The sequence below is a fragment of the Homo sapiens genome, chromosome 15 (assembly GCF_000001405.40).
Source record: "Homo sapiens chromosome 15, GRCh38.p14 Primary Assembly".
In the NCBI taxonomy this organism is placed as follows: Eukaryota; Metazoa; Chordata; class Mammalia; order Primates; family Hominidae; genus Homo; species Homo sapiens.
Window position 1 is genome coordinate 38,621,575 of NC_000015.10, and position 25,156 is coordinate 38,646,730.

Consider the following 25,156-nt stretch of genomic DNA (forward strand, 5'->3'; position numbering starts at 1 on the left):
AAGGAGTCAATGATGTACAAAGTTACACCTATTGAAACTTTCTCAGAGGCAGAGATTATTTATAGTGATTGTGTTTCTGAACAAAATTTAGAGATAGGGTTTGATAAGTAGTTTTTTTTCCCTGATTTTGGAGCTTACATGAAACTAGAGAAGTATAAAAAATGAAATTTGTTTTGTTATACATTGAATGAACCATCAATGTATAACAATTAGAATGATACATTGAATGTAAAAATTGAAATGATCTCAGAAAATTGAACATGTTATACATCATGCCCATGGCTTGCAAAATCAGAAGCAGCAACATGTAAAGGATTTAAAAAGATGGTAATATCATGGAAATAAGAAATACAAACTTTGTCACTTCATGCTGTCCCAACTAAAGAGTACCTGTGGGATTGAGGTGGCCACCAGATATAGCATCTGTGGACATTCTGGGTTCAAGTGGGAAGAAAGGAATCATAGAGCAGCTTCTTTCTGCTTAATCTCTGAAGGCAAGAGGTGATGGATGGCCTTGCCAAAATATTTGAAACATGAACAAAGGTAGTCAGTGAATATTAACTAGCTGCGCCGTAAACTGCTGCCGGGGTTCACCGTGGTATTATACTCACCTTCTGCTGCAGTAGATGCAGACCAGACCTAATTCAGACCAATCTGGATTTTGGGTCAGGACCCTGGAAGATTAAGGAAGGAAATAAAGTGTCTCATGGTCACATATTTCCAGATACAAAAGGATATGTAGGAAAATTTTATTCTAATCCTCATCATCTAAACCCAATAAAACTAAAAAAAGATAAGAGACTTGGAGCAATGTTCTACCCTGTGAAGTCCTAATCAAGACATGTATTTCTTCACGTGGAACCACAGGGTCTGGGATGACGTCTGACTGCATTTCCCTGATGGTAGGAGGTTGGCGAGGACAGGGATACTCCACCTGGCTCGTCCGCACCCAGAGCCCCACCTTAGTGCAAGCTGCTATTTCCTCCTGCCTGGAATGTTGCATTTGCCTCCTAACTGGTCTCTCTGCTTCTGCTCTTCTCTCTACATAATTTTTTTTTTTTTAAGACAGAGTGTCACTCTGTCACCCAGGCTGGAGCGCAGTGGCGTGATCTGAGCTCACTGCAACCTCCACCTCCCAGATTGAAGCAATTTTCAAGCCTCAGCCTCCGGAGTAGCTGGGATTACAGGTGCTCGCCACCATACCCAGCTAATTTTTGTATTTGTTAGTAGAAATGGGGTTTCGCCATGTTGGCCAGGCTGGTCTGGAACTCCTGACCTCAAGTGATCTGCCTGCCTTGGCCTCCCAAAGTGCTGGGATTACAGGTGTGAGCCACTGTGCCCAGCCCTCTCTCTATAATCTATTTCTCACGCAGCCAGAGTCTTTTTGTAAAAGTGCAAATCAAGCTGTGTCACATCCTGCGTTAAACTGTCCAGTGGTTTCCCATGGCAGTCAGAAAGTAATGAGATACTCTCGCTCTCACCTACAGAGCCCTGTGAACGCCTGACCCCACCACCCACTCCTCCTGCCCCATCTCAGGCTCCCTGCCCCTTGAGACCTGTGCACCAGGTCCAGTGACTTTCTTTCTGCCCCTTAGGCATGTAGAGCCCATCCCTGCCTCAGGGCCTTTGCACTTGCACTCTTTGCCACTGTGATCTCAGCTTTTCAAGCAGCTGCCTCCTCATCCTTCAAGTCTCAGTTAATGACAATCCCTCCACGGGGTATTCCTTGACCTCTTAATTTAAATCAACTTAGAAAGTCACTCACAATCACATCACACTATTTTATTTTCTTCATAGCCTTATTGCTTTCCAAAATTATTCTGTTTACTTAATGATTTACTAGTTTAGTGTTTGTTTCCTACCATTAGAAGGATAGGAAATCATTGAGAAAGTACTCTTAGAATTGTACATTATACTATATAATGCTATATATGCAGAACCAAGTTCCTGGCACATAGTAGGTTTAGAATAAATGATTTTAGTTGGTGTTGATGAATAACGAGACCTAACACCCCTCCCCACACCCCTGGCACTGGCATTCCATAAATGGGACATACCTTTCCTTTGTAAAGTGGGTTGAAGTTCCTGTTTACCTTGGAGGAGGAGCCAGTCTGGGACACATATTAAAGCATTTTTCAAGTACTTAGAGTTTAAGAAGGGATCATGCACAGCATCTAATATCACTCAAGAGGGGGTAGAGAGTATGGTAGATAGTCTCCAAAGACGGCCATTACCAATTCCTTGCCTTGCATATGCATGGTACTTCACCTATCGAGAGGTGGAAACCATTTTTCCTCTCCTCAAATCTAATTGGCCTTGTGGTTTGTTTTGACTAATAAGTAGAATGCAGCAGAAGTGCTGTTCTAGGACTTTCAAGCCAGGCCTTAATAGAATCGGCAGCATCTGTTTTCTCCATCTTTGGCAGCCAGCTGCCATGGAAGAAGTCCAGTTCTCTGAGAATGCTGTTTTGAGGAAGTCCAAGCTCTCCTCGTAGAGAAGCCCCATGGAGGAGCACCAAGGCGCCAGATACAAGAGTGAAACCTTGGCAGTCCAGCCCATGAATTCAGCCTAGTGAAGGCAGAAGAACCCACCAACTAAGCCAAGTCAACCTACAAAATTGTGAAAAATAAGTCATTAGTGTTTCAAGACAGTAAATTTTCAGGCCGTTTGTTATATAGCAGACAGCTAATGTTAGAGATATGGCTGCTGTAGAATTGTGTGTTACCATATCCTGAGGCTTGAAGAAATTTTGAGCTTCTCAAGCTTTAATCTGCATATAATAAACCATCAGGGCATACTGTTAGGAAGCAGAGTCTGATTCTGTAGGTCTGGGGTGGGGCTGAGAATCTGGCAGCATCTGTTTTCTCCATCTTGGCAGCCAGCTGCCATGGAAGAAGTCCAGTACTCTGAGAATGCTATGCTTCGAGGAAGTCCAAGCTCTCCGTGTAGAGAAGCCCCATGGAGGAGCACCAAGGTGCCAGATACTTGTAAGAAAGCACCTAAGCTTTCTTACAAGCCCCTAAGTGATGCTTACAATGATAATGAAGTGCACGGACTCACTTTGAGTAGCAAGGCCAGTCCCTAGCTTCCAGAAAGTTCCATACTTAAATCATCTCAGAAAACCCCAGGCCTTCCCCAAGTATATTTGAGGAAAGACTAGTTTGAAAACGGGTTCTGGTCAGATAAGTTTGGGAAACGCCACCTACTCTATTCCACCACTAGAGTTTCACAACATACTGAGCTCATAAAGCTCTTAGAGCTCCTTCACTAAAGAAACCTGTTTAACTCTATTTAGCACAATATTTCCTGAGTATATTTGATTATTCCTATTAATATCTTAAGGAACTAGTGTTCTGTGAAACACACTTGGAGAAGCACAAAACCACCTTCCCCCACCCCTTTTTTAAAATTAACTCAGCAGGTTAATCATTGTCTCTTAACAATGAATGTTATGTCACGTAGTGTTGCAATCCAGGAGTTTTTTCTTTTTTCTTCGCTCTCTAACCAAATTCCTTTTTTCTTGCTGTAGTCTAAGAAATCTCTATTCGTTTCCAATAGAGGTGGAAAGCAGCCCATGCCACCCATTATTTAGCCCTTTCTTTTTTTTTTTGTATATATATATATATATATATATTTTTTATTATTATACTTTAAGTTCTAGGGTACATGTGCACAATGTGCAGCTTTGTTACATATGTATGCATGTGCCATGTTGGTGTGCTGCACCCATTAACTCGTCATTTACATTAGGTATATCTCCTAATGCTACCCCTCCCCCCTCCCCACACCCCCCAACAGGCCCCGGTGTGTGATGTTCCCCTTCCTGTGTCCAAGTGTTCTCATTGTTCAATTCCCACCTATAAGTGAGAACATGCGGTGTTTGGTTTTTTGTCCTTGCGATAGTTTGCTGAGAATGATGGTTTCCAGCTCCATCCATGTCCCTACAAAGGACATGAACTCATCATTTTTTATGGCTGCATAGTATTCCATGGTGTATATGTGCCACATTTTCTTAATCCAGTCTATCATTGTTGGACATTTGGGTTGGTTCCAAGTCTTTGCTATTTTGGGTAGTGCCGCATTTAGCCCTTTCAATGCTTGAAGCTCTCCTCTTCCTATCAAGGTGCTTAGTCTTCTACTTCTTTCCATTTTTTCTATTTCCCAGCACCTATTGCTCTTTTTCCAGCTCCACCACTTAACCAGCTGGTTGACCTTGGATTTGTTTCTTGATATTTTTAAGTATAAATATTTCCATTCGTAAAATGGAGTTACTCCTAATATTGGAAATATTAAACGAACCCATCTATTGAGTGCTTAGCATACAGCCTGCAAGTCCTAATCATTAAGGAAATGTCAGCTTTTGTTGTCATTGTTCTCTTACAGCTCCAACTCTCCAGCTCTATGGGTGTCCCTGTCCCAGCGAGGCTGGGGAGGAGGGAAAGACACTGGGGGGGGACACATGGCTGATTGAAACTCATCTAATTCCACAGTCTGATTTGAGCTGCTATTCTTAGCCTCCTTCACACCAAATCTTTTTCCTGGTACCGCTGAGAAGCTTCAGAAAGTTCAGGCTAAAGTTAGAAATCTAAATCTGTGTCTCTGGAAGTCCACCCACTCTTCATCTTTGGAAGCTGTTCTTTGGGGCTGACACTGGAATTTCAAGGGTTATCTGCTATTTTTACATTTTTATTGTCTCTTTGCTGAAACAAGTCAGAGATGGTCTCCCAGCAGCAGGACTTAATACTGGTAGGTTTTGTACTGAAATGTAGCTCAGGATAATATCACCTCCACTGTTTATCCCTTTATCCCAGAGACCACCTGCAAATAGTTTTGAGTTCCTTACTTCTCTCCCTCCTCATTTGCTTAGGAGAAAGCAGGCAGCTTCTCATCCATATTAAAAACCTATGGCACTTTTTCTTCACTAGCTCCTCTCCCCTGCCATTTGCAGACCTCACTAATAGCACCACACTAAGCCTTTACTCCTATAGAGGGTACACAGAGTAACTCAATCTGGCCTTAGTTCTTTCTTCCCTGGCCTCAAAAGGAAGTAGCTCTGGTCACAAGACAAACTTCCCTTCCCGTGAAGTGGGAGAAAATCTGCTGCACTTTCCCTTCAAGCCTGATCTATTTTCTTCATGTGTGCAGATACAGTGTGATTATTATTATATTTCTCTCTGGGCACCAATTGCTGTCCTTCACACAGGGTAAACGAAAAGGCAGCCCAGAGGGAAGCAGAACTTTTGATCTCAGTGCTGTATTGAATGCAGCTGCTCAGCTCCTCTCTGTGAGTGACACCAAGGCTAGTATTTTCATCTCACTTAAAGACGTAGGAGGACCTATAATAATAGCTAAGATTCAGTGCTGCTAAGGTGCCAGGCACTGTGCTAACTAAATACTTTACATATAATCTCATCTAAACATCCACTGGTGTTCCCATTTTGCAGAGGACCTGAGGGATCTAAGGCTTAAGCGGCATAACGTGTCCTAAAGGTCACAGAGCTGGTCAGTGGGAGAGGAGAGGCTCAAACTAGAACCTCAGGAACTCTCGTCCATTACATATGGAAATTTTGCTTGGAGAATTGGCCCAGGCTGTTATGGGAGCCGTGCTGAGTTATGGCTCCACAGGGCTGCAGGGCCATTCTGAGGCCATGTAACCCACCTCCCTGTCCTTAGGCAGCACATCCCCAGCCGTTCCACTAAAATGTTGTTGCTCCTATCTGAAAATAGTTGTGAGAAGTTATTCCTCAGCCAAGCCTGGCATGTCTGTAGGGGTTTTATGACCCTTGGGCAGGGGGTTTAGCCTGAAGTTTCTGAGTATTCCCGTCTGAAAATGATCCGTCTGCTGAAACTCGAACTAATGTTATTTTCTGTTTAGCTTCCTACGGGTAGGAAATGAATCCAGAGAAGTTGCCACTTGAAACTGGAGTGCACATATGGTGCTAGTCTTAGGACGACTGTGGATCCAAAGAAAGTTTTTATTATCAATCTCATTATAATATTTATTTTCCCTGTTATATGAATTGTAAAGTAAAAAGCTGCAATGACTTTGGTTTAGTTCTTTTTTTAGTGGTCTTGTTACTCTAAGTGTGTCTCAAGGGTCAGCAGCATCAGCATCACCTGGGAGCTTGTTATCAATGCAGAATCTCAAGCCCCGCCCCAGATTTGTGGAATCAGAATCTGCATTTTGATAGCATCCCAAGCTTATCTGTGTGCACATAAAGTCTGAAGGGCACCGTTTTATGGGACTTAAGCCTGAGGGTAGAGTACAGATGGCCTAGGTGTTAAAGTAATTGTTCACAATGCTGGCTGTACCGTAGGATCACCTGGGGAACTGCAGAGCACCTGGCTCCCACTGCTGAAGATTCTGGATTAATTTATCTGGGGCGGAGACTAGGGGTGGGTACGTTTGGAAAGTTTCTCGGGTGAGTCTAGTGTGCGTCAGGGCTCAGCACCACTGCCTAAAAGATATGCTGACTTCTAGCTCTGGGCATGTGAAGATAAGGCGTTGTCTGTCTCTCTCTGCTGGACGTTCTATCTAAGCAGCGTGGATGTTGACAAGGCTCCTGGAAGGACAAGAGAAGGTATATTAAAACATACAATTAAGCCCTAACATACGTAAATATGTCTTTGAGAAGACAGTGAAAGGAGAGCCATGGGACCATGTTTAACTACGTTGGCAGAGTCAGGGTTTGGAAAAATGCACCATTCCTCTAACTTGGTAGATTCATGGAGAAGACGTAATGTCCTTCATTTAAGATTTTAGTGTCTTTCATTCAGGACGTGTGGCTGCTTTAGGGTTGCTAGATTTGGCAAATAAAAATACAGGACACTCAGTTACATTTGAGTTCCAGGTGAACAAAGAGTAAATTTTGAGCATTTTTTTTTTAGTATGCAATATTTGAGAAAATAACACATTAAAAAATTATTCACTGTTAATTGGAAACAAACTTAGCTGTTGGTCCTGTATTTTATCTGGCAACCTCAGCCTGTTTAGAGCAGAGTTTCAGTGAATGCCTTGGGACACTGGAACATGGAAAACAATGCCCTCTGAATTGTGAGGGTGCATAGCAGCTCTGGGTATGTGTGTGTGTGTGTTAAGGGTATTGAAGGGATAGACGTACGGAGGCACACAAGTTTCGATAATGGTAAGGACAATGGAGAAGAATTTTCTCTTTGTATGTCAGGGAAAATGTACTCATAAGTTACAGACTGAAAAACACTGAAGAAGCCTTTGTGAAGGGAAATTTTTTATGATAAATTGATTTTTGGGCAAAAATCTTTTTTTGCCAAAAATATTGTAAAAATTGCTTCTTGCAAAAATTTCAAACTGTACAGAAAGGTGTAAAATGGAAAGCAAAAGTATCAAAATCTCTCATTATCACCCCCAGAAACTACCATTCTTAACTTTCACTTGTGTATCCTTCCAGGACTTTCTTGGGCATAGATTAACATGCGTCTACATATGAATATTTTTAATTTCAAAAATGAAAATATATATTACATACTTTTGCAAATTGCTTTTATTTCCACTTAACAGTATATCTTAGATATCTTTTCATATGTGCCTGTATAGCTATACCTACTTCGTTCCTTTTTAACAACTGTATTATAATTTATTAAATTATGGAATATTTTTATTATGAATTCAAGGGCCACTTAAAAGTGTTTTCTCTGTGCAGAGCTTTGCATAAGTGTTTGCATCTCACAATTCAATATTCAATTTAGCATCAATAGTTGGTATCAGTCCAACAGTATCTCCTCAGAGAGGCCTTCCCTCTTTCCCCTGGGAAAAATAGCTTTGCCCCTAACCACACTCTCACTCTTCCTAACAAATTACCTTGTGTTGTTTTCCTTAATTGGCATTTATCTCTATCTGAAATGCTCTAATATAGCAAATTGTTTATTTATTTTTGCATAGCTGTCTCTCCCCACTAGCCTGAGACTGCACAACATACAATGGGTGTGCAAAACGTATCTGTTAATGGATGAATGATCAAATGATTGAATTGAACATACTGTGGCATATAAAAACAAGGAATGGCAAGGAGGCATGTGATGACTCAGGCAGCAAATGGAACTTAAGGCGTACTGTGTTAAGGGATAAATTCAATTCTATGGGAGCTCATTGAGGGGAGCAAATCATTTATCATAGACAGAAAGGAAAGGCTTCAAGTGAAAGTGAATTAGAAGTGACAGTGTAAGAATGAGAATGACTGACAGGTAGGGACTGTGGGAATGGTATCACAAGGTAGAGGACGTGTCTAGACAAAGTTTGGAGGCGGGTAATTGCCTGGCATATTTGGGGAGAGGTGTCTTTGCCACCATGGTGGGAGCTCGGGATGTGCATGGGGAAGGCCTAGTGGATTGGGGAGGGATTTGAATGCTATATTGAGAGATTTTGATCATTTTACTCTAAGCACTGGGGAACTATTAAGGATTTTTGAGGTGGGAAGTGATGGGTTAATGATATATTTTAAGAGGGTAATATTTTCAGCAATGGAAATATTTGTTGGAGCAGGGAAAGGCTGAGGTTATGAAGAAGCACTAAGAGAGAAGACGAGGGCAAGGTCCAGACAGGTTGGAATGACTGACCTATTTAGGTGGGGAAATTTAGCTGTGCTTGATGTCACTCATCAAGATCAGTAGTTGGCAGACCATGGCCTATGGGCCAAATCTGGCCCACTGTCAATTTTTGTAAATAAAGTTTTTTTGGGAAATAGTCATGTCCATTCTTTTACGTATTGTCGAGGGCTGCTTGGTGCTCCACTGGCAGAATTGAATAGTTGTGAAGAGCCCACATGGCCTGCAAGGCCTAATATATTTACTACCTGGATCTTTTTCAGAAAAGGTTTGCTAGTCCCTGATCACGATGAACAGTATCTATATCTCTCTCATGTAGGTCTTAGATGCTGAGATCATTACCATCTTAAAAGAGAGCAAGGTTTATCCCTGTCCCTGGGAACCAAGGGTCACACTTTCCCATCAACCAGCTGTTGCTCTTTGCCTTGAGCTTTGTCTTAAGTTCCAGTGAATTTATGAGCCACAAAAGCCCTGAATCTCAGAAGCCCTAAGATGCAGCCCGGAAAAGCTGATTGGGAAGGAGACTGTGTCCCTGGCCAAGGGCCAACAGTGCAGCTTTCTCAAGATCCCATCTTTGCCTTTGCAGAGCCCACCTGGTTGCTTGCCCCTGTTAGGATGTCGCCTCCTTGTCATCAGAGCTGCTTGCAGCCCGTGTCCTATCCTGGCTTGCCCTTCCTCCAAGGACAATTCAAAGTTTTTGGATTTTCCTTTGTAAGAACACAACAGCAGGGACATGACACCCTTTCAAAATGCAGAGGGGGCTTTACACTCACATGCACATGGACTCCTCTCTCAAAAAGTCTCAGAATGGGAAACCTCACATTCTCAGCAGATGGCCTTTTAGCAGCATCTCAGCTGTTAGGATACCTGTTATCTGATTGATACTTCCAAGATCCTGGTTGAAATCCCTTTGTTTCCTTAGTCTTGAGGATATGCCTTCATGTTTTATGTTTTAAATTGTGGCTGTTTCATATAATATGGGTTGGCATTTTCAACAAGTTAAAAATTCACCAAGACATCATTCCTCCATTAGTAATAGTGACGCAAACTTTCCATTTTGGTGAATGGCCCTACAGTTCCTCACTTCAAGGTATTGAGTGAAATGGGAGTTTCCTTGCTGACTTTTCTCAGCTTATTTTTCCCCTTGACTTACCCACTTGAAAATTATTGCTTGCCTATAAATAGCTCCTACTTATTTCTAAAGTCAAGAGTTTGTTTGTAGGTTGTTTACTAGGATGTCATCAGCCAAACTGCAGTGTCAGGCTGCTCAGGGGCAAGCTAATTTCCTTTTGAAAATTGCAATTCTGAAAGCTGCACATATTTTATCTCCATCATCAGTAGGAACCAAAGTACATGTAGCTTCATGCTGTGATATACCAGCAAGCTAAATAAAAATGATCCCACTCTTGCAACTTAAAATAGGTAACATTGGTGTGAACTGACCCTGATGTGGCACACACGAAATTAACTTTCAGGATCTCTGAGCCATCATCCTTCAACAAGAGGCTTGGGTGACTGCCAGTCAAGCGAAGCAAGCCATATGTATTAAGATCTCTTTGAAGAGAGGAAAGAGGCAGTATTTTCAAATAAGTTCCAAATTGAAAGTGACAAGGGCAGATGCTTCAATCTACAGGCAATGATTTGCAAAAGAGCTGTTTGATACATAGGCAACTCTAGGTATCAGGCTTCAGGGTATACAGACTGGGGCACCCTATAGGGTGATTTTGCTTCCTTTCCACCCACGACCACCCATCCCCAGCTCAACTCATCATCACCAGGGGACATTTGACAATGTTTGTAGACATTCTTGGTTCTCACAACTGGAAAGGGAGGTGCTGTTGGCATCTAGTGGGTAGAGGCCACGGATGCTGCTAAACATCCTACAATGCACAGGATAGCTCTTCACAACAAAAGTAAATGGTTCTCCTATGCAGTGTCTGAGTTGCCAGGTTGTTTTTTTTTTTTTTTTTTTTTGAGACAGGGTCTTACTCTGTCACCCAGGCTGGAGTGCAGTGGCATGACCTAGGCTCACTGCAGCCTTAGGTTCAAGTGATCCTCCCACCTCAGCCTCCTGAGTAGCTGGGACCACAGGCATGCCACTGAGCCCAGCTAATTTTTTGTATTTTTTTAAAAGACTTTGTTCATGGCTATTTATAAGATAAATATATACAAATTCATTAGCTTGTCCTATAATACCATAAGCACCTAAAATGAGCAGGGTTTCTCCATGTTGCCCAGGCTGGTCTTGAACACCTGAGCTCCAGTGATCTGCCCATCTCAGCCTCCCAAAGTGCTGGGATTACAGGTGTGAGCCACCTTGTCTGGCCAGGAATTTGTCTTTGGTTAGTAGTAAATAGTGAGACATGTAAAAATAGTGAAACACATGCTCAGGTGGGTCTCACTTAGAGGAAGAAGTGGGATTCAGGAGTCCTCAGGATGATGGAAGGAAGAGGCTGCGGAGAGCTGGGGTGGGGCTGGGATTTCCATGCCCAGGGATGTGGAATGAGAAGGAATTAGAAGCTGGGTTCACGATGAACTGAAGAGGACAATTGGAAGTAAGTGATTCTGTAGATGGGAGAAGGGAGGACCTGTTGACTTGCTGGCAGGTAGAGAGTTTCCTACTGGCACACAGATGCCTTCATGTAACCCGGCCTCTGCTCTCATGGTGGGGTGCTCCCGGAAGCACCCTGTCCTCCACCACTCCTGGTATCTCACCCTGCACCCTGTCCTCCACCACTCCTGGTATCTCACCCTGCACCCTGTCCTCCACCACTCCTGGTATCTCACTCCTCCCTCTCATCACCTTTTCTTCCTAGACATGCTGCTACCTGAGAAATCCCTGCACCGCTCTCACCAAGTGAAGAGTATTTGGGAAATGAGGTCCTTGGCAGCGATAAAATTATTTTGCAAAATTATACAACCTTACTAAAACCATTCCAGTTAAAATCTAGATGAGATTGACTGTCGTGAATATTCTTTCTTAATATTTGCTTAGAGATTCTGGTTAACGTAATAGTTTTTAAAAAGAACAATTTGTGTAAACTTTGGAATAGAAGAGATAAAATAATCCCCTTTGCTGGATCTGCAACTGTATACTTAGAAAAGCAGTATCTAGTAAAAAATACTAGAATAAATAAAAGACTTTTTCATGGCTATTTATAATATAAATATATAGAAATTCATTAGCTTGTCCTATATTACCATAAGCACCTAAAATGAACACAGAGAAAATATTCCATTCTGAGTAGCAATGACAATTATAAAAAATTTATTAAAGACATAATTTGTTCTTGAAAATGGAGGCTTAGAATTGTATTTTTTCTAAAACTAATGTGAAAATTTAATTAAATTTTAGAGAATCTCAATAGCTTTTTCTCTTTGAAATTGGAAAAAAAATCATCTTAAATATCATATAGAAGGACAAGTGTCCAAAAGTAGCTAGGAAAGTGTGACTAAAAAGAAAGAGGGAGTTGGATTTGCTTTAGCAGATAGCAAAACAACTTCTAATCATATAAAGATGACGTTGTCATAGGAATGGAGAAATAGACCAGCACAATGGAATAAAGAAAGTAGAAAACAATGTGAACCTACGTGAGGATTTAATATATTACAAAGGTGATCTAATGAGAAAATAGGGGATTTTTATAGAAATGGTGTTGGCATAATTTTTTCTTCATGTGGATAAAGATAAAATTAGAATTTGTCTTACATCATGTTCAAAAACAAAATATATTTCAGATGGATTAAAGGCATAAATGCAAAACAATACAACAACATACAATCAAATCTACAAAACTTCATGAATAATTTAGGAGGAGAGGACATTTTCTTAGCTAAGACAGAAAACCAGAGACTATAAAAATATATATAAATATGTGCATATATATATATATATACAAAAATAACAATGATGTCAGAGGAGACCATAAATAATATCAAGAAACAAATGATAAATATGGAAAAATATGGCTCCAATGTAGAAGACCAAGATTTTTGTCTATAATATTTGAAGAGCGCTTATAAAGTAGTAAGGAAAAAGACAAATGATTCAACAAAAATAAGGAAAATGATATGGAAAAGAAATTCACTAGAGGAGAAATCAAAATGCTAACAAATACATGAAGAAGTGCTTACTCTCACTAGTAGTCAGGGAAATGCACATTCCAAAATAACAATGAGCTATCACTTTAGTTCCATCAGACTGAAAAAACTTCCTGAAAACCAAAATACATATTCCATCTGAGGCAGCAATCCCTTTCCTGGGGCCTCGGAAACAAAACTCCAAAATGTGGAGCTCTATCTATAAATCTTATTGATGCTTTGTTTATAACATTAAAGAAATCTGGAGACAAGTAAGTGTCTATCAAGACAGGGATGGATAAAAAAATATGGGCCCATCCGCATCATAACATATTGTACAACTTTAAAAATAATAACTTAGAACTATCTCATTTGACTTGGGGACATTTCTATGAGATATTGTTGAAAAAGAAATGCAGAATGCTGAAATGCTTGTATAATATGATTTCTACTGTTAAACAAGCAGTGACTTACCCTTAGGATAGTATAAGTATGCATGTGAGCTGGGAGAAAAAGACATAGAAGGATACCAAATAGGTTTTTAGTGCTGTGAGGGTAGATAGGGGGTAGGAAGGGGGAGGCCAATAAAAAGGGAGGAAAAAAAGACAAGACTATAATACTCGCCTCCCCCATATCTGTAACATGATTCAAGTTTTAATTTATCTAAAATCAATATATCTATTTTGTGTGTTTTTGTTATTTGTTTATTTTTAAGAGATGGGGGTCTCTCTCTCTCTTGCCCAGACTGGACTCGGGTGGCACAATCATGGCTCACTGCAGTCTTAAACTCCTGGGCTCAAGACATCTTCCTGTGTCAGCCACCCAGGTAGCTGGGATTGCAGATGTGAGCCACCGTGCCTGACTTGTGTGTTTCTGTGTGAGTGTGTGTATGTATATATGCATACCCAAGTTAACTGGTTGGAACAAAAAAAGAAATTAAAAAAATAATGATTTTCAAAAATATGCTATGAATTTATACAGCAGTTTTCTTTCAAAGAACTCTGAATGCTTTGATGTAGACCATTCATTTCATCCTCACAACTTCCCTGGGAGTTGTGACCTTTAAATGTCAAACCCCACAGGACTCTCTGCCTGGCTCCAGTGACGGACATCTGGAGTGAGATGCCTGCGGCAGCCCCTTTTCATCTTTGTGTCAGAGTATGTGGGGAGCTGGACTTTGCTGCTGGGCTATGCTTGCCTGCAGGGCTGTGGGTTTCTTCAAGCTCCTCTGTAATTTCTGTACCCCTCCAGATACAGCTTACCCTCTTAGATGAGAGAGAGTGCTCCAAGGCTTTCCCAGGTGCAGGTTCTGGAGCCCTGAACAGGGCACAAAAAGAGCAGTCAGTCAAGGAATGCCCTACCGAACCATTTCCATAGACTGACATAGCAAGATCCTAAATGGGAGAACCAGTTCTACTAAGCAGGGGATGCACTGCTGCGTAGAGTGGAAACCGTGGGGCTCTTCCCCACAGAGGCTGTATGGGGTGCTGTGAAAATCACGGCTTTGTAATACAAGAGTCAAGGATGAAATTCTGGTTTTACCGTGTGCTGGGAAACTTAATTTTCTGAGCTTGAAAACTGACTCCTCACCAAATAATTTTCATTTACCAGGTTATTGTGAGGATTAACTAAGATGATGACTATAGAAGCATCAACACCTGCCTGGCAGGTAGGAGGAGCTTAACCAGCAGGTGGTAGGGAAACAATATTAAAAACCTATCAGGATTTGGCCTTGTGTTCTCTCCATTTCTCCTTTAATCCCTCTCGCCTTTTTTTCAGATGTTCATTGAGTCACTGTTACCAAATATTGGCCCCTGGAAATCTCATAGTGTAATTAAAAAGATGAAGAAGGAAACAGATACTCTGTGGTGTCATGGAGAATTTGTTAAAGACTTTTAATTGAGGTATGCACCGAATGCTTTGAGCACATGTAGGAGGATAACCTCACGTGTGTGCAGTAGCCAGGAAAGACTTACTAGAGAAGGTGATATTTGAGAATTCACCTGGTTGATTAGGGGATAGGGAATAAGTGGTAATGGGTATGTGCTGGTGTGAAGAAAACTTATATACAGGATGACAGGTATGCAAAAAAGCCAAAAGGTGAAAAACTATTGATGTTAACATTTATGGCTACTATTTTTGGTATAAAAATTAACCTGACTTAACAAAGGATTTTGTACAATTACTGTTACCTGTATTGATTAAAGTGGTTTAGACCCAATAATACAGAAGTGTGGAAACGTTTCAGCAGTTTATGAGGATAACTAAATTACATTAAAATGGGAGCTGTGATCCCAGTCTTCAAGATGGCTCCAAAGACCCCTGCCTCCTGGTTTTCAGGCCCTTGTACAGCCCCCTCCCACAGTGGACCAGGGTTGGTCTGTGTGACTAATAGAATACAGAAGATGTGATGGTGTGGCATTTCCCAAAGAAGTTATAAAATTCTATGGCTTCTGTCTTGGGCTCTCTTTCTCTGTCTTGGATCACTCAGTCTGGGGGAAGCTGGCGGCCAACTTGTGAGGACACTCAGGCAGGCTTTGGAAAGGCCCACGTGGAGAAGTGAGTCCGCCAGCAACCGTGGGAGTGAGCTGGAAAGCACATCCTTTAGCCTCAGATGACTGCAGCTCTGCCTGAGAGCTTGCTGCAACTTCATGAGAGATCCTGAACCACCTGCTAAGCTCCTCTTGGATTCTTGACCCATAGAATCTGTGAGATGATAAATATTTGCTCTTTTAAGGATAATTTATTATTTAGCAATAGATATTTGTCTCCCATTCTTTATCTTTCTCTGCATCAATGCCCTTTGCTATATGATATTGCAGTTTCTCCTACTAGAAGTACCATATATATCCTTTCCCCACCATGTTGAACTTGGCCATGTAACTTGCTTTGGCCTATGGAACGTGGAAAAAAATGACCATATGTCTCTTAGTAGCTATTTAGGCCTTGAGATGTATCACATACTACTGCTCACCTTTTTGATGGTAGCTGATAGTAGCTGATCCTCCTTCAACCTGGGTCCCATAAGGAACACATTAACAGAGCCACTCCAGCCAAACTGTAGACTAGGAGCCTGAGAATAAATTATTGTTTCAAGCCATTGGGTTCAGGGTGTTGGTTACACAGAATTAATATGGCAATAAGAAATTGATGCTATCCCTTCAGATATGTCAGGAGAAAAGGACACATAAAGATGTGGTCAATGAGATTGGAAATACAAGTTGAGACTCCATTTTGAAGGGCCTTGAGTACCAAACTACACAGTTTGGATTTTTTTTTTTTCTGCAGGAAGCACATACAATTCATTTTGAGAACACTGTCATGGCATTGTTGAGAATGGACTAAAGAGAGCAAGCCTAGAGGCAGAAGTCTAGGCTTCTAGGAACTTTGCAAAAGTCCATATGAGATGTGTGATACGGGCTTGAATTAGGGCATGGGCAGTAACAATGAAAGGGGAGAATTGATTTAATGTTGAGACTGTCTCCTGAAACAACTTGTCCTTTTTACTAAAGGAATGTATGGGGAGAGAAAGTTTCCCACTGTAGACTGACACCTTCATGAAGCCAGGAAGCCTAGCCTGATTAAATTTTCAGGCAGACCCCATTATTTACTCTTTCTGGATCAATGAAAGAAGTACAAGTTATTTCATAGGATGTTGGGCAAAGCCAATGCCCAAATGCCTGCCAGGGCACATCTGAACTGAAAGTGAATGTTCAAGGATCCATCTTGCTTTCAAGAGAACACTCCCTTTGCATACACGTAGATGATTTCCCTTCCTCTCCTTGACTTCACTCAGGCCAACTCCTCCAAAGTTAGGGGAGTATGGGTTAGCTGTTGGTTTCTTTGTTAGAGGAACTCTCAGACATAGTTTATAGGTTGCCCATGGGAAATTTGGTCAGAGCAGGGCCAAAGGCTTCATGAGAAACCTAATCAGTTTCTACCACTTGATCTGAATTAAGAAGAGTATTCCAAGCAGGACAGGTTTGAGAGACTTTCCTCCTCACTCTGAAGTCATAAGTTTGGCTAGGAAAATTGGGATCCATCTGGTATTTTCTACACATTAACATATTAGCTGGGAGGAGTCTTACGTTATTGCCTAAGAGTGTGAGATGCTATAGACTGATTGTGATGATCATTCCTGCATATTGGTACAAAGATGTGTGTGTTTCTGGCAAGCAGAAGTATGCTAAATGAAGCCTAATAAATACTTGTTGATATGCAATGTTCATTGAATGAGACTGGCTAGTCCATATCTGTCAGACAGAATTACGGAGATACATTCTTGGCTGTAAAGATGGAGTCTGGGAGATTTGCAAATGCATCAGGGATTTTCAGATGTAAGAGACTTAGAGCCATGGGAGAGAATATTATACCATTTTTGTGTCTTGTGATCTAGGCTCAGGCCAAGCTGTAATGTAGTAAAGGGTAATTCATAGGCTCAGTATCTCAGGTTTGTCACACGGAAAAACTTTTCCTATAGAAATTTCCCTACTGGTCTGTTGAGAGAATTAATCAGCATTTGCAACGAATTTACAAAGACTTTTGAAAACTGGAAAGCAGCTAGAAAGTACAGTTATAACAGCTGTTTCCTCCAAGTTAGAGGAGTGTGGCTTAGCTGTGGGCCTCTTTGGTGAATAAACTCTGAAGCCTGATCCTGAAGAGATTAGGAACAATATTTGTAGTGTAGTGTGTAGTGATGGGTCTTACAACTGGTGGCACGATTCAGGCCTGCTCCATCCAGGAGACTGGTTGACTTGAACAGAAGTTGGAGTAAGCAAGATGTTGAGCATAGAGACCCATGTAGAAACCACAACCACCTGTTACCTTGAACATCACAGCAAAGATGGCTTTATAGTAATCTTCTTTGGAAACAGTGCCGTTAAGTCAACAAGGGCTGCAGGTGCCGGGGATGGCTCAGACCACACCAAGCCATGTGCACATTAGCCTCATGGTAAGGAACCGGGGTCTATTACTGTTGGATGTGGTCACTCTCAGCGGCAAACACAGCATTTCTACTCGGAAATCACAGTTAGACATTGAGACTTGGGATTTAGAAGTATTTGTTTCTGTTGCATTTCTTGGTTAGGTCCAGGGGCCTAATACAAAAATTGGTACTAATACAAAAATTGCCAGGGCACATTTTACCAGTTGTGAAATCAGGAAAGATCCTCTGGTGGACTCTCATTTGGAGGGTGAGGAGTGAGGCCAGAGAGGTGAAGTGCCTGCCCAAAGTGAGGCAACTCGTCTGTGGCCAAGTTGGAGACCAGCACCCATCTTCTAACACCTAATTGATGAATGATCTTTACCATTTTACCACTTTTGTTCTGCTTCACTTCTTGGCATTGATCATATCCCACTCTGGCTCCTAGAAAGAAGTCATCTGCCCCCTTCAAATGAAGAAGCAGACAAGCCTACTGCTAACCTCCATGATCCCTCTTGAGAAGGTCCCCATGGGTCTCCCCGACTCCAGCCAAAGGGTTGTCCATTGCCTTAGCTTATCTTCGATTGGCCTCACTGGGCCTGACCTTTCTTCTCTACATACTTTCCCTTCCCCCCAGCCTCCAGCCGTAGGAGAAAATCCTCTGTATTTTATGGCACCCTTCTCAAGAAATATTGGAATTTTACCAGTTCCTTTTAACAATAGAACCCAAGGGGTGACTAATGGTAGAAAGTAGGTACATAGGGAGCTCAGTGAGGGAGTCCAGTTAGGACAAGGAGATTTTCTTGTGCTTCTGTGCTATAGAAATTTCCCTACTGTGGCCTGTTACTCTGTACACAGAACTGAGCTTGGACCCCACTAATTTGCCTTAAAGGAAAGGGTGGCTCACAGTTTTGGGCATGCTTTGGTATAAAGCGAATTAGTAGTATTACAGATATAACACATTCTGTAAGACACTAAACAGAGAACTAGAGCTAGAGATAGGCAACTATTAATATTATGGTTAAATGGTAGTCTATAGAAAAATGCAAAGAAAGAACATAATTTTTAATATCGTACCACCGACTTTGTAAATGTCTTCTAGTTAAACAGGGCATGATAACCTATCTGCAATGTAGTTACATCTTACTTTTGTAGATTATTATCCAGAGAATAACAACTGGACACAGTCTAGTATCATCCTTTGAGACCTTGAACACATAAATTGTTTTTCCCTTATCTCCTTAATCTCCTAGTCTGTAAATAAGGCTAATAAATACCACATGTCACATCTAAAAATCACATCCTTTAAATTTAACTGCCTCTAAATAGTCTTAATTTTTTTTAATGATAGATAAAATCCTAAGTATTTATTGTATACAACATATTATTATGAAGTATATGTACATTGTGGAAGGACTAAACCTAGCTAATTAACATTAGCATTACCTCACGTAGTTATCATTTTTGTGGTAAGAACACTTTATATCCACTTTCTTAGCGTTTTTCAAGAAGACAATGTATTATTTACTATAGTTACCATGTTGTATAATAGATTTCATAAACTTTTTCTTCCTAACTGAAATTTCACAGCCTTTGACCAACAATCTCCCCAACCCACCCCAATCACCTCAGTCTCTTGTAACCACCGTTCTACTCTCTACTTCTATGAGATCAACTTTTTTAGATTTCACATGTGAGTAAGATCATGCAGTATTTATCTTTCTGTGCCTGACTTATTTCACTTGACATAATGTCTTCCAGTTTCATCGTGTTGTTGCAAATGATAGGATTTCCTTCTCCTTTATGACTGAATAGTATTCCGTTGTGTGTATATATACTACAAGGGTATCCAATCTTTTGGCTTCCACAAGCCACATTGGAAGAGTAAGAATTGTCTTGGGCCACACATAAAATACACTAACACTAACAATAGCTCATAAGCTAAAACACAAATTGCAAAAAAAAAATCATAATGTTTTAAGAAAGTTTACGAATTTGTGTTGGGCTGCATTCAAAACCATCCTTGGCTGCATGCAGCCCATGGGCCACAGGTTAGACAAGCTTATACCTCATTCAAAACATCTCTTCATCCACTGATGGACACCTAGGTTGATTCCATATCTTGGCTCTTGGGCATAATGCTGCAACAAGCATGGGAGTGAGGATATCTCTTTGACACGCTGATTTTATTTCCTTGGGATATAAACCGAGTAGTGGGATTGCTGGCTGGATCATATGGTAGTTCTATTTTTAATTTTTTGAGAAACCTTTATACTGTTTTCCATAATAGTAGTGTTAATTTACATTCCTATCAACAGTTTGTGAGGTTTCTCTTTACTCCACATCCTTGCAAATTAACTTTTGCCTTTTTGGTGATAACCATTCTAACAGTTGTTAGCCTCACCTAAATATTCTTAATTATATCAGTTATCAGCTGTCACAATAATAATGCATAACAAACAGCCACAAAACCTCAGTGGCATACAGTGATGCTTTTGTCAGTGGTTAGGGTACCCACCAGGGCTACTGTGAGACAGACTTGAGCCAAAATCCCATTCATTGCTTGACTTCCATAAAATCCTGCTGATTGATGGATCACAGTGGTGCTTTAGATCTACAGTAATTAGTGGATGTCCAGTATTCACTGAAAAGCCTGATCATTTTTCCTTCTCCAATGCACAATTTCCTGGATAAAGGCCATAAGTCCCTTTGGGGAGAGCTAAGAGGAAGATTTAGTATCTGTATTTTTTGTCTGGGTAGCATGGTCCTTACTCAAGGGGACTCAGTCTCTTCTTTATTCAAGGAGTTCTGGGTCTGTGAACTGGCTCAAGGTTGGGAATTGGTTGTTACTTAGATTTCTGTTGTTGAAAACTGGTAAAATAATTCAGTTCATTTGTTGTTTATTGTACCTCCTCTTAAGTCACACTTTGTATCTTGACCACATGAGTCTTCTTCACACAGAAACCCACTGAGATTTAGGTCTAGTAAAGGAGCAGTGAATGGTGGTGGGATTAGGGCTGGAGGAAGATCAAGCAAGGCAAAATATCTCAGGAGTTCCAGCAAGGCAATATATCTCAGGAGAGGTAATGATAGGCTCTTCAGATAAGAGGAGACTAATCTCCTTAGGGGAAGAAGGGCTGCCTCTATTGGCAAAGGAGAGTTAAGAGAGTTAAGGGGTTTGAATCTACCAGCTTCATTAGGATTTACCCATATATTCACATCCCAATACTCAGGATTGCATTCTCTATCAATTAAAAAGTATTGGTTATTTTTGTTGTTGTTTTTTTTTTTTTTTGAGACGGAGTCTCGCTCTGTCACCCAGGCTGGGTTGCAGTGGCGCGATCTCAGCTCACTGCAAGCTCCACCTCCCAGGTTCATGCCATTCTCCTGCCTCAGCCTCCCGAGTAGCTGTGACTACAGGTGCCTGCTACCACGCCCGGCTATTTTTTTTATATTTTTAGTAGAGACAGGGTTTCACCATGTTAGCCAGGATGGTCTCGATCTCCTGACCTTGTGATCCACCCGCCTGGGCCTCCCAAAGTACTGGGATTACAGGCGTGAGCCACTGTGCCCTGCCTAAAAAATACTTTTAGAGATAATGTCTCAGTGTGTTATCCAGGCTGGAGTGCAGTAGTAAAATAGCTCACTGCAGCCTCAAACTCTTGGGCTCAAACAATTGTCCCACGTCAGCCTCCTGAGCAGCTGGGACTACAGTCATGCTTCACTACATCTGAATAATTTTTTAAACTTTTTTTGTAGAGATGCGGTCTTGCTGTGTTGTCTGGGCTGTTCTGGAACTTCTGGCCTCAAGCAATTCTCCTGCCTCAGCCTCCTGAAGTGCTAAATTACAGGTGTGAACCACTACACTCAGCCTCTTTACCAGTTAATATCCTAACTTTAACATAGGAGACTCTATGAGGAAGGGAAGTCAATTTGCATTGTAAGTCAGCCACCTGCTGTTCTAGACTTTGGGTGTGGCTTTTGAAAATCTTAGCCCTAAGGCAGAAGAAGATAAAAGTTTCTTTTAGGGTAGTCATATATTTGAGGCCCCTTATGTAGATCTTGAGCTGGGAATTTAGTCCTGAGCTGTTTTTTTGTTTTCTACACATTTTCAAGCACATTTAGAAGCAAACAACAAAACCACTCTTAGTACCAATTTTTGTATTAGTCAGGGTTCAATCAGAGAAGGAGAAACAACTATGAGTGATTTTGTTATTATATAATAAGAAATTTCTTATAGAAATTTGACCTTATGGAATTGTGGGCGTTGTTAGTTTATGTGCATGTTTTGCACGTGCATAACACAAGCTATTGTGCATATGTGCATGTACCCCAAATACACAGAATATCTTTAGTTCTGGCAAAAGGGTAGACTAAGATAACCTGAAACTCTCCCGCTACAAATTGTGAGAGAAGCCAAATAAGGTGTGTAAAAATTTTTTTGAAATATTTGCTAAGCTTGCCAGAAAAAAAGGAAATCCCTAGATCCCAGAAAAGAAGATGGAGTTGAAAACCAGATTAGTAAACTTGTGATCTGACACGTGGCTGCCCTTGGAGTGAAGATTATGGGTTCCTGCAACCTGGGGCTTAGCTTTAAGGATGACAATATGTTAAATAAGGAGCTAGAACTTGCATGATATAGGGAATAAATCTGAGGTTTCTGCAAAAGCCAAGACATTTGAGAGGCTGAGGCTGTACCCTCAATGATAGGGTGAAAAAACAAGCAAACAAAAAAACGCCCCAACCCACCCCGGCAAAAAAAAAAAAAAAAAAAAAGGCCAAAGATACAAAAAGGAAACCTCTGTGTTTCCATATGGTTCTTGATGAAAAAAAAGTCTGACCTGAGAAAATGAAACCACCAACCTATACTTTACATGGACTTAATATCCACATTTATTTGCCTGCATGGTACAGGAATCCAAAATGTATAATAAATGATATGAAATAGTAATAAATTGATAAGCAGTGATACAAATGAAAACAATAATAGGATCAACAAAATAATGAGTTTTGGGGATGTAATTTCAAGGTGGAATTAAAAATAGAAGAAAACTATTACATGTAGAATAGGAGTTTACTGAATTTAAAATGTTTTAATAGTCTATTATTTATAAGAAGTTAGAAATATTGGTTAAATTAAGATTTCTGTTGATTAATCATATATAAGAATGTTAAGGGTAATCTCAAAATATAGAAATAGAAAATATTGCTTTAAAACCAGAACAAGGCAAAAGAGGAAATAGAAAATATGATAAATCCAACAGTTTAAGGGAAAAAAAGAAAAAGAAAAGAGTAAATAGAAAGCCCAAAACAGAATTACAGAAATAGGTCCAAATAAATATATCACTAATCATTATAAATGTAAATGGCCTAAATTCACCAGTTCAGATACAGAGACTCAGATTCTTTTAAGAAAAACTGACTTTAGGCTGGGTGGGGCGGCTCACACCTGTAATCCCAGCACTTTGGGAGGTGGGCAGATCACCTGAGGTCAGGAGTTTGAGACCAGCCTGGCCAACATGGTGAAATCTCGTCTCTACTAAAAATACAAAAATTAGCTGGGAGTGGTGGCGCATGTCTGTAATCCCAGCTACTCATGAAGCTGAGGCACAAGAAATGCTTGAACCTGGGAGGCGGAGGTTGCAGTGAACTGAGATCCAAGATTGCACCACTGTACTCCAGCCTGGGCAACAGAGTCAGACTCTGTCAAAAAAAAAAAAAAAAAAAAAAAAAGAAAAAACTGACTTTAAAACCTTGATATGATGGTTTCAAAATACAAAAGTATAATATCACAAAAAGTTGAAAATAAAATAGTGGTAAAAGAGATACTATGAAAATACTAATACAAGGAAAGCTCGGGACTCACACAAATATCAAATAAAATAGACTGTAAAATGAAAACATTATGCATGAAGATGATTATTTTATAGCAATAAATAGGAATAACTTTTACAATTAAAACTTTAAATTAAAATCCTGAGTGAGCAAGTATCTAGCAACATGGTCTCAAAATATGTAAACCCCAAACTGAAGAACTTCAAGGAGAAATCGACAAATCAACAACCACAATAGGAAATCGTATTGTATACATTAGTTAGAAATTGATAAATTAAGAAGACAAAAAAATAGGTAAGGGCATAGGAATTTTGACTAATATGATTAACATGGTAGGTATGATGGATATTTATAAAATTCTGTACACATGAATTAGGAAATATATATTCATTTTAAGGGTAAATGTAACTGTTACCAAAATTGATCACATGGATTGAATTGGCCTGGGGTAGATCTCAGGAATCAGTTTTTTTCTAAAGTTCCCCAAGCAATTCTAATGTGTAGTCAGGATTGAGAGATGCTGTATTATAGCAATTTAAAATGCATGGCCTGTATTTTCATGTAATTATGCGAATACATCTTGAAAAAGCTGATGTTGAGAAGAAAAAAGCCAGTTACAAAAGGAGCATGTATTATGTTTATGTCAAATGTTTAAAAACACAGTAGTTTATTTGTGATAAAAGTATAAGTTGTATGTTATAAAAACACAAAAATATGTATGAAGTGACATAACTCTGGGGAGAGAGAGGAGGGAAAGGGTTGGAGAAGGACACTAACTAGACATTGAATTATTTCTAAAAAATAAAATATTTCAAAATATGAAAGGTCAAATCTGGGCCAGGCATGGTGGCTCATGACTGTAATCCCAGCACTTTGGGAAGCCGAGGTGGGAGGATTGCTTGAGTCCAGGAGTTTGAGACCAGCCTGGGCCACATAGCAAAACCCTGTCTCTACAAAACAACAACAACAAAAGGTCAAATCTGGTGGTTGGTGTATGGAATGTTGTTATATAATTTTGGTCCTTTTGTGTATTTGAAATATCTCATATTTCAAAAATTGAACAAAAAATAAATTCATAGATGAATTAGGTCTCATGTCCACTGTGCAATACAGAGAGCATATCTATTGACCAGGGAAGGAGCCTGTAATTGTTTTTTTTCTTATAAGGTTTCACAGCATGACATTGTCTTGGTGATTCCACAAAGGAGCTGAATCTTTCAGGCTCAAATTTTTGATTTGTCAGCACATCAGTTAAGTGAGAAATAAAACTTTTTTTGGACCTAAATATTCCTCAGTGATAGGTACATTCGCAGACTCACATTACATTGGAAGAGGATCCCTATGGAGATGTTTGCTTAGAGAGCACCAGAATTAGCCTAAGAGGAATTGTTTAAACAATAGCATGTTCAATAGCATCAGGCTCTGATAACCCCTGAGGCAGTTATCTCATAATGGGATTGGCCTTGGCAATATGATTGAAAGTCTCAAATTCCGTTTGCTGAGATTCTCTCGCTCTGAACAGAGCTGAATGAGCAGAGTCTACATCTGACTCTGTGAATATCATTTTTTTGGGCTTTCAAGGCCTTTGCTACCCTCCATACATCCAATCTGGATTCACCACTTTCCCTCTCTGCTCCCATACCTCTTTGCAGACTTCTGTTGGCACTGAGGATGTGAAAATTTCAAATTATGTGTCTGTCTCCCCAACTGGACTGATTGCTCCACCAAAGGCAAGAACCA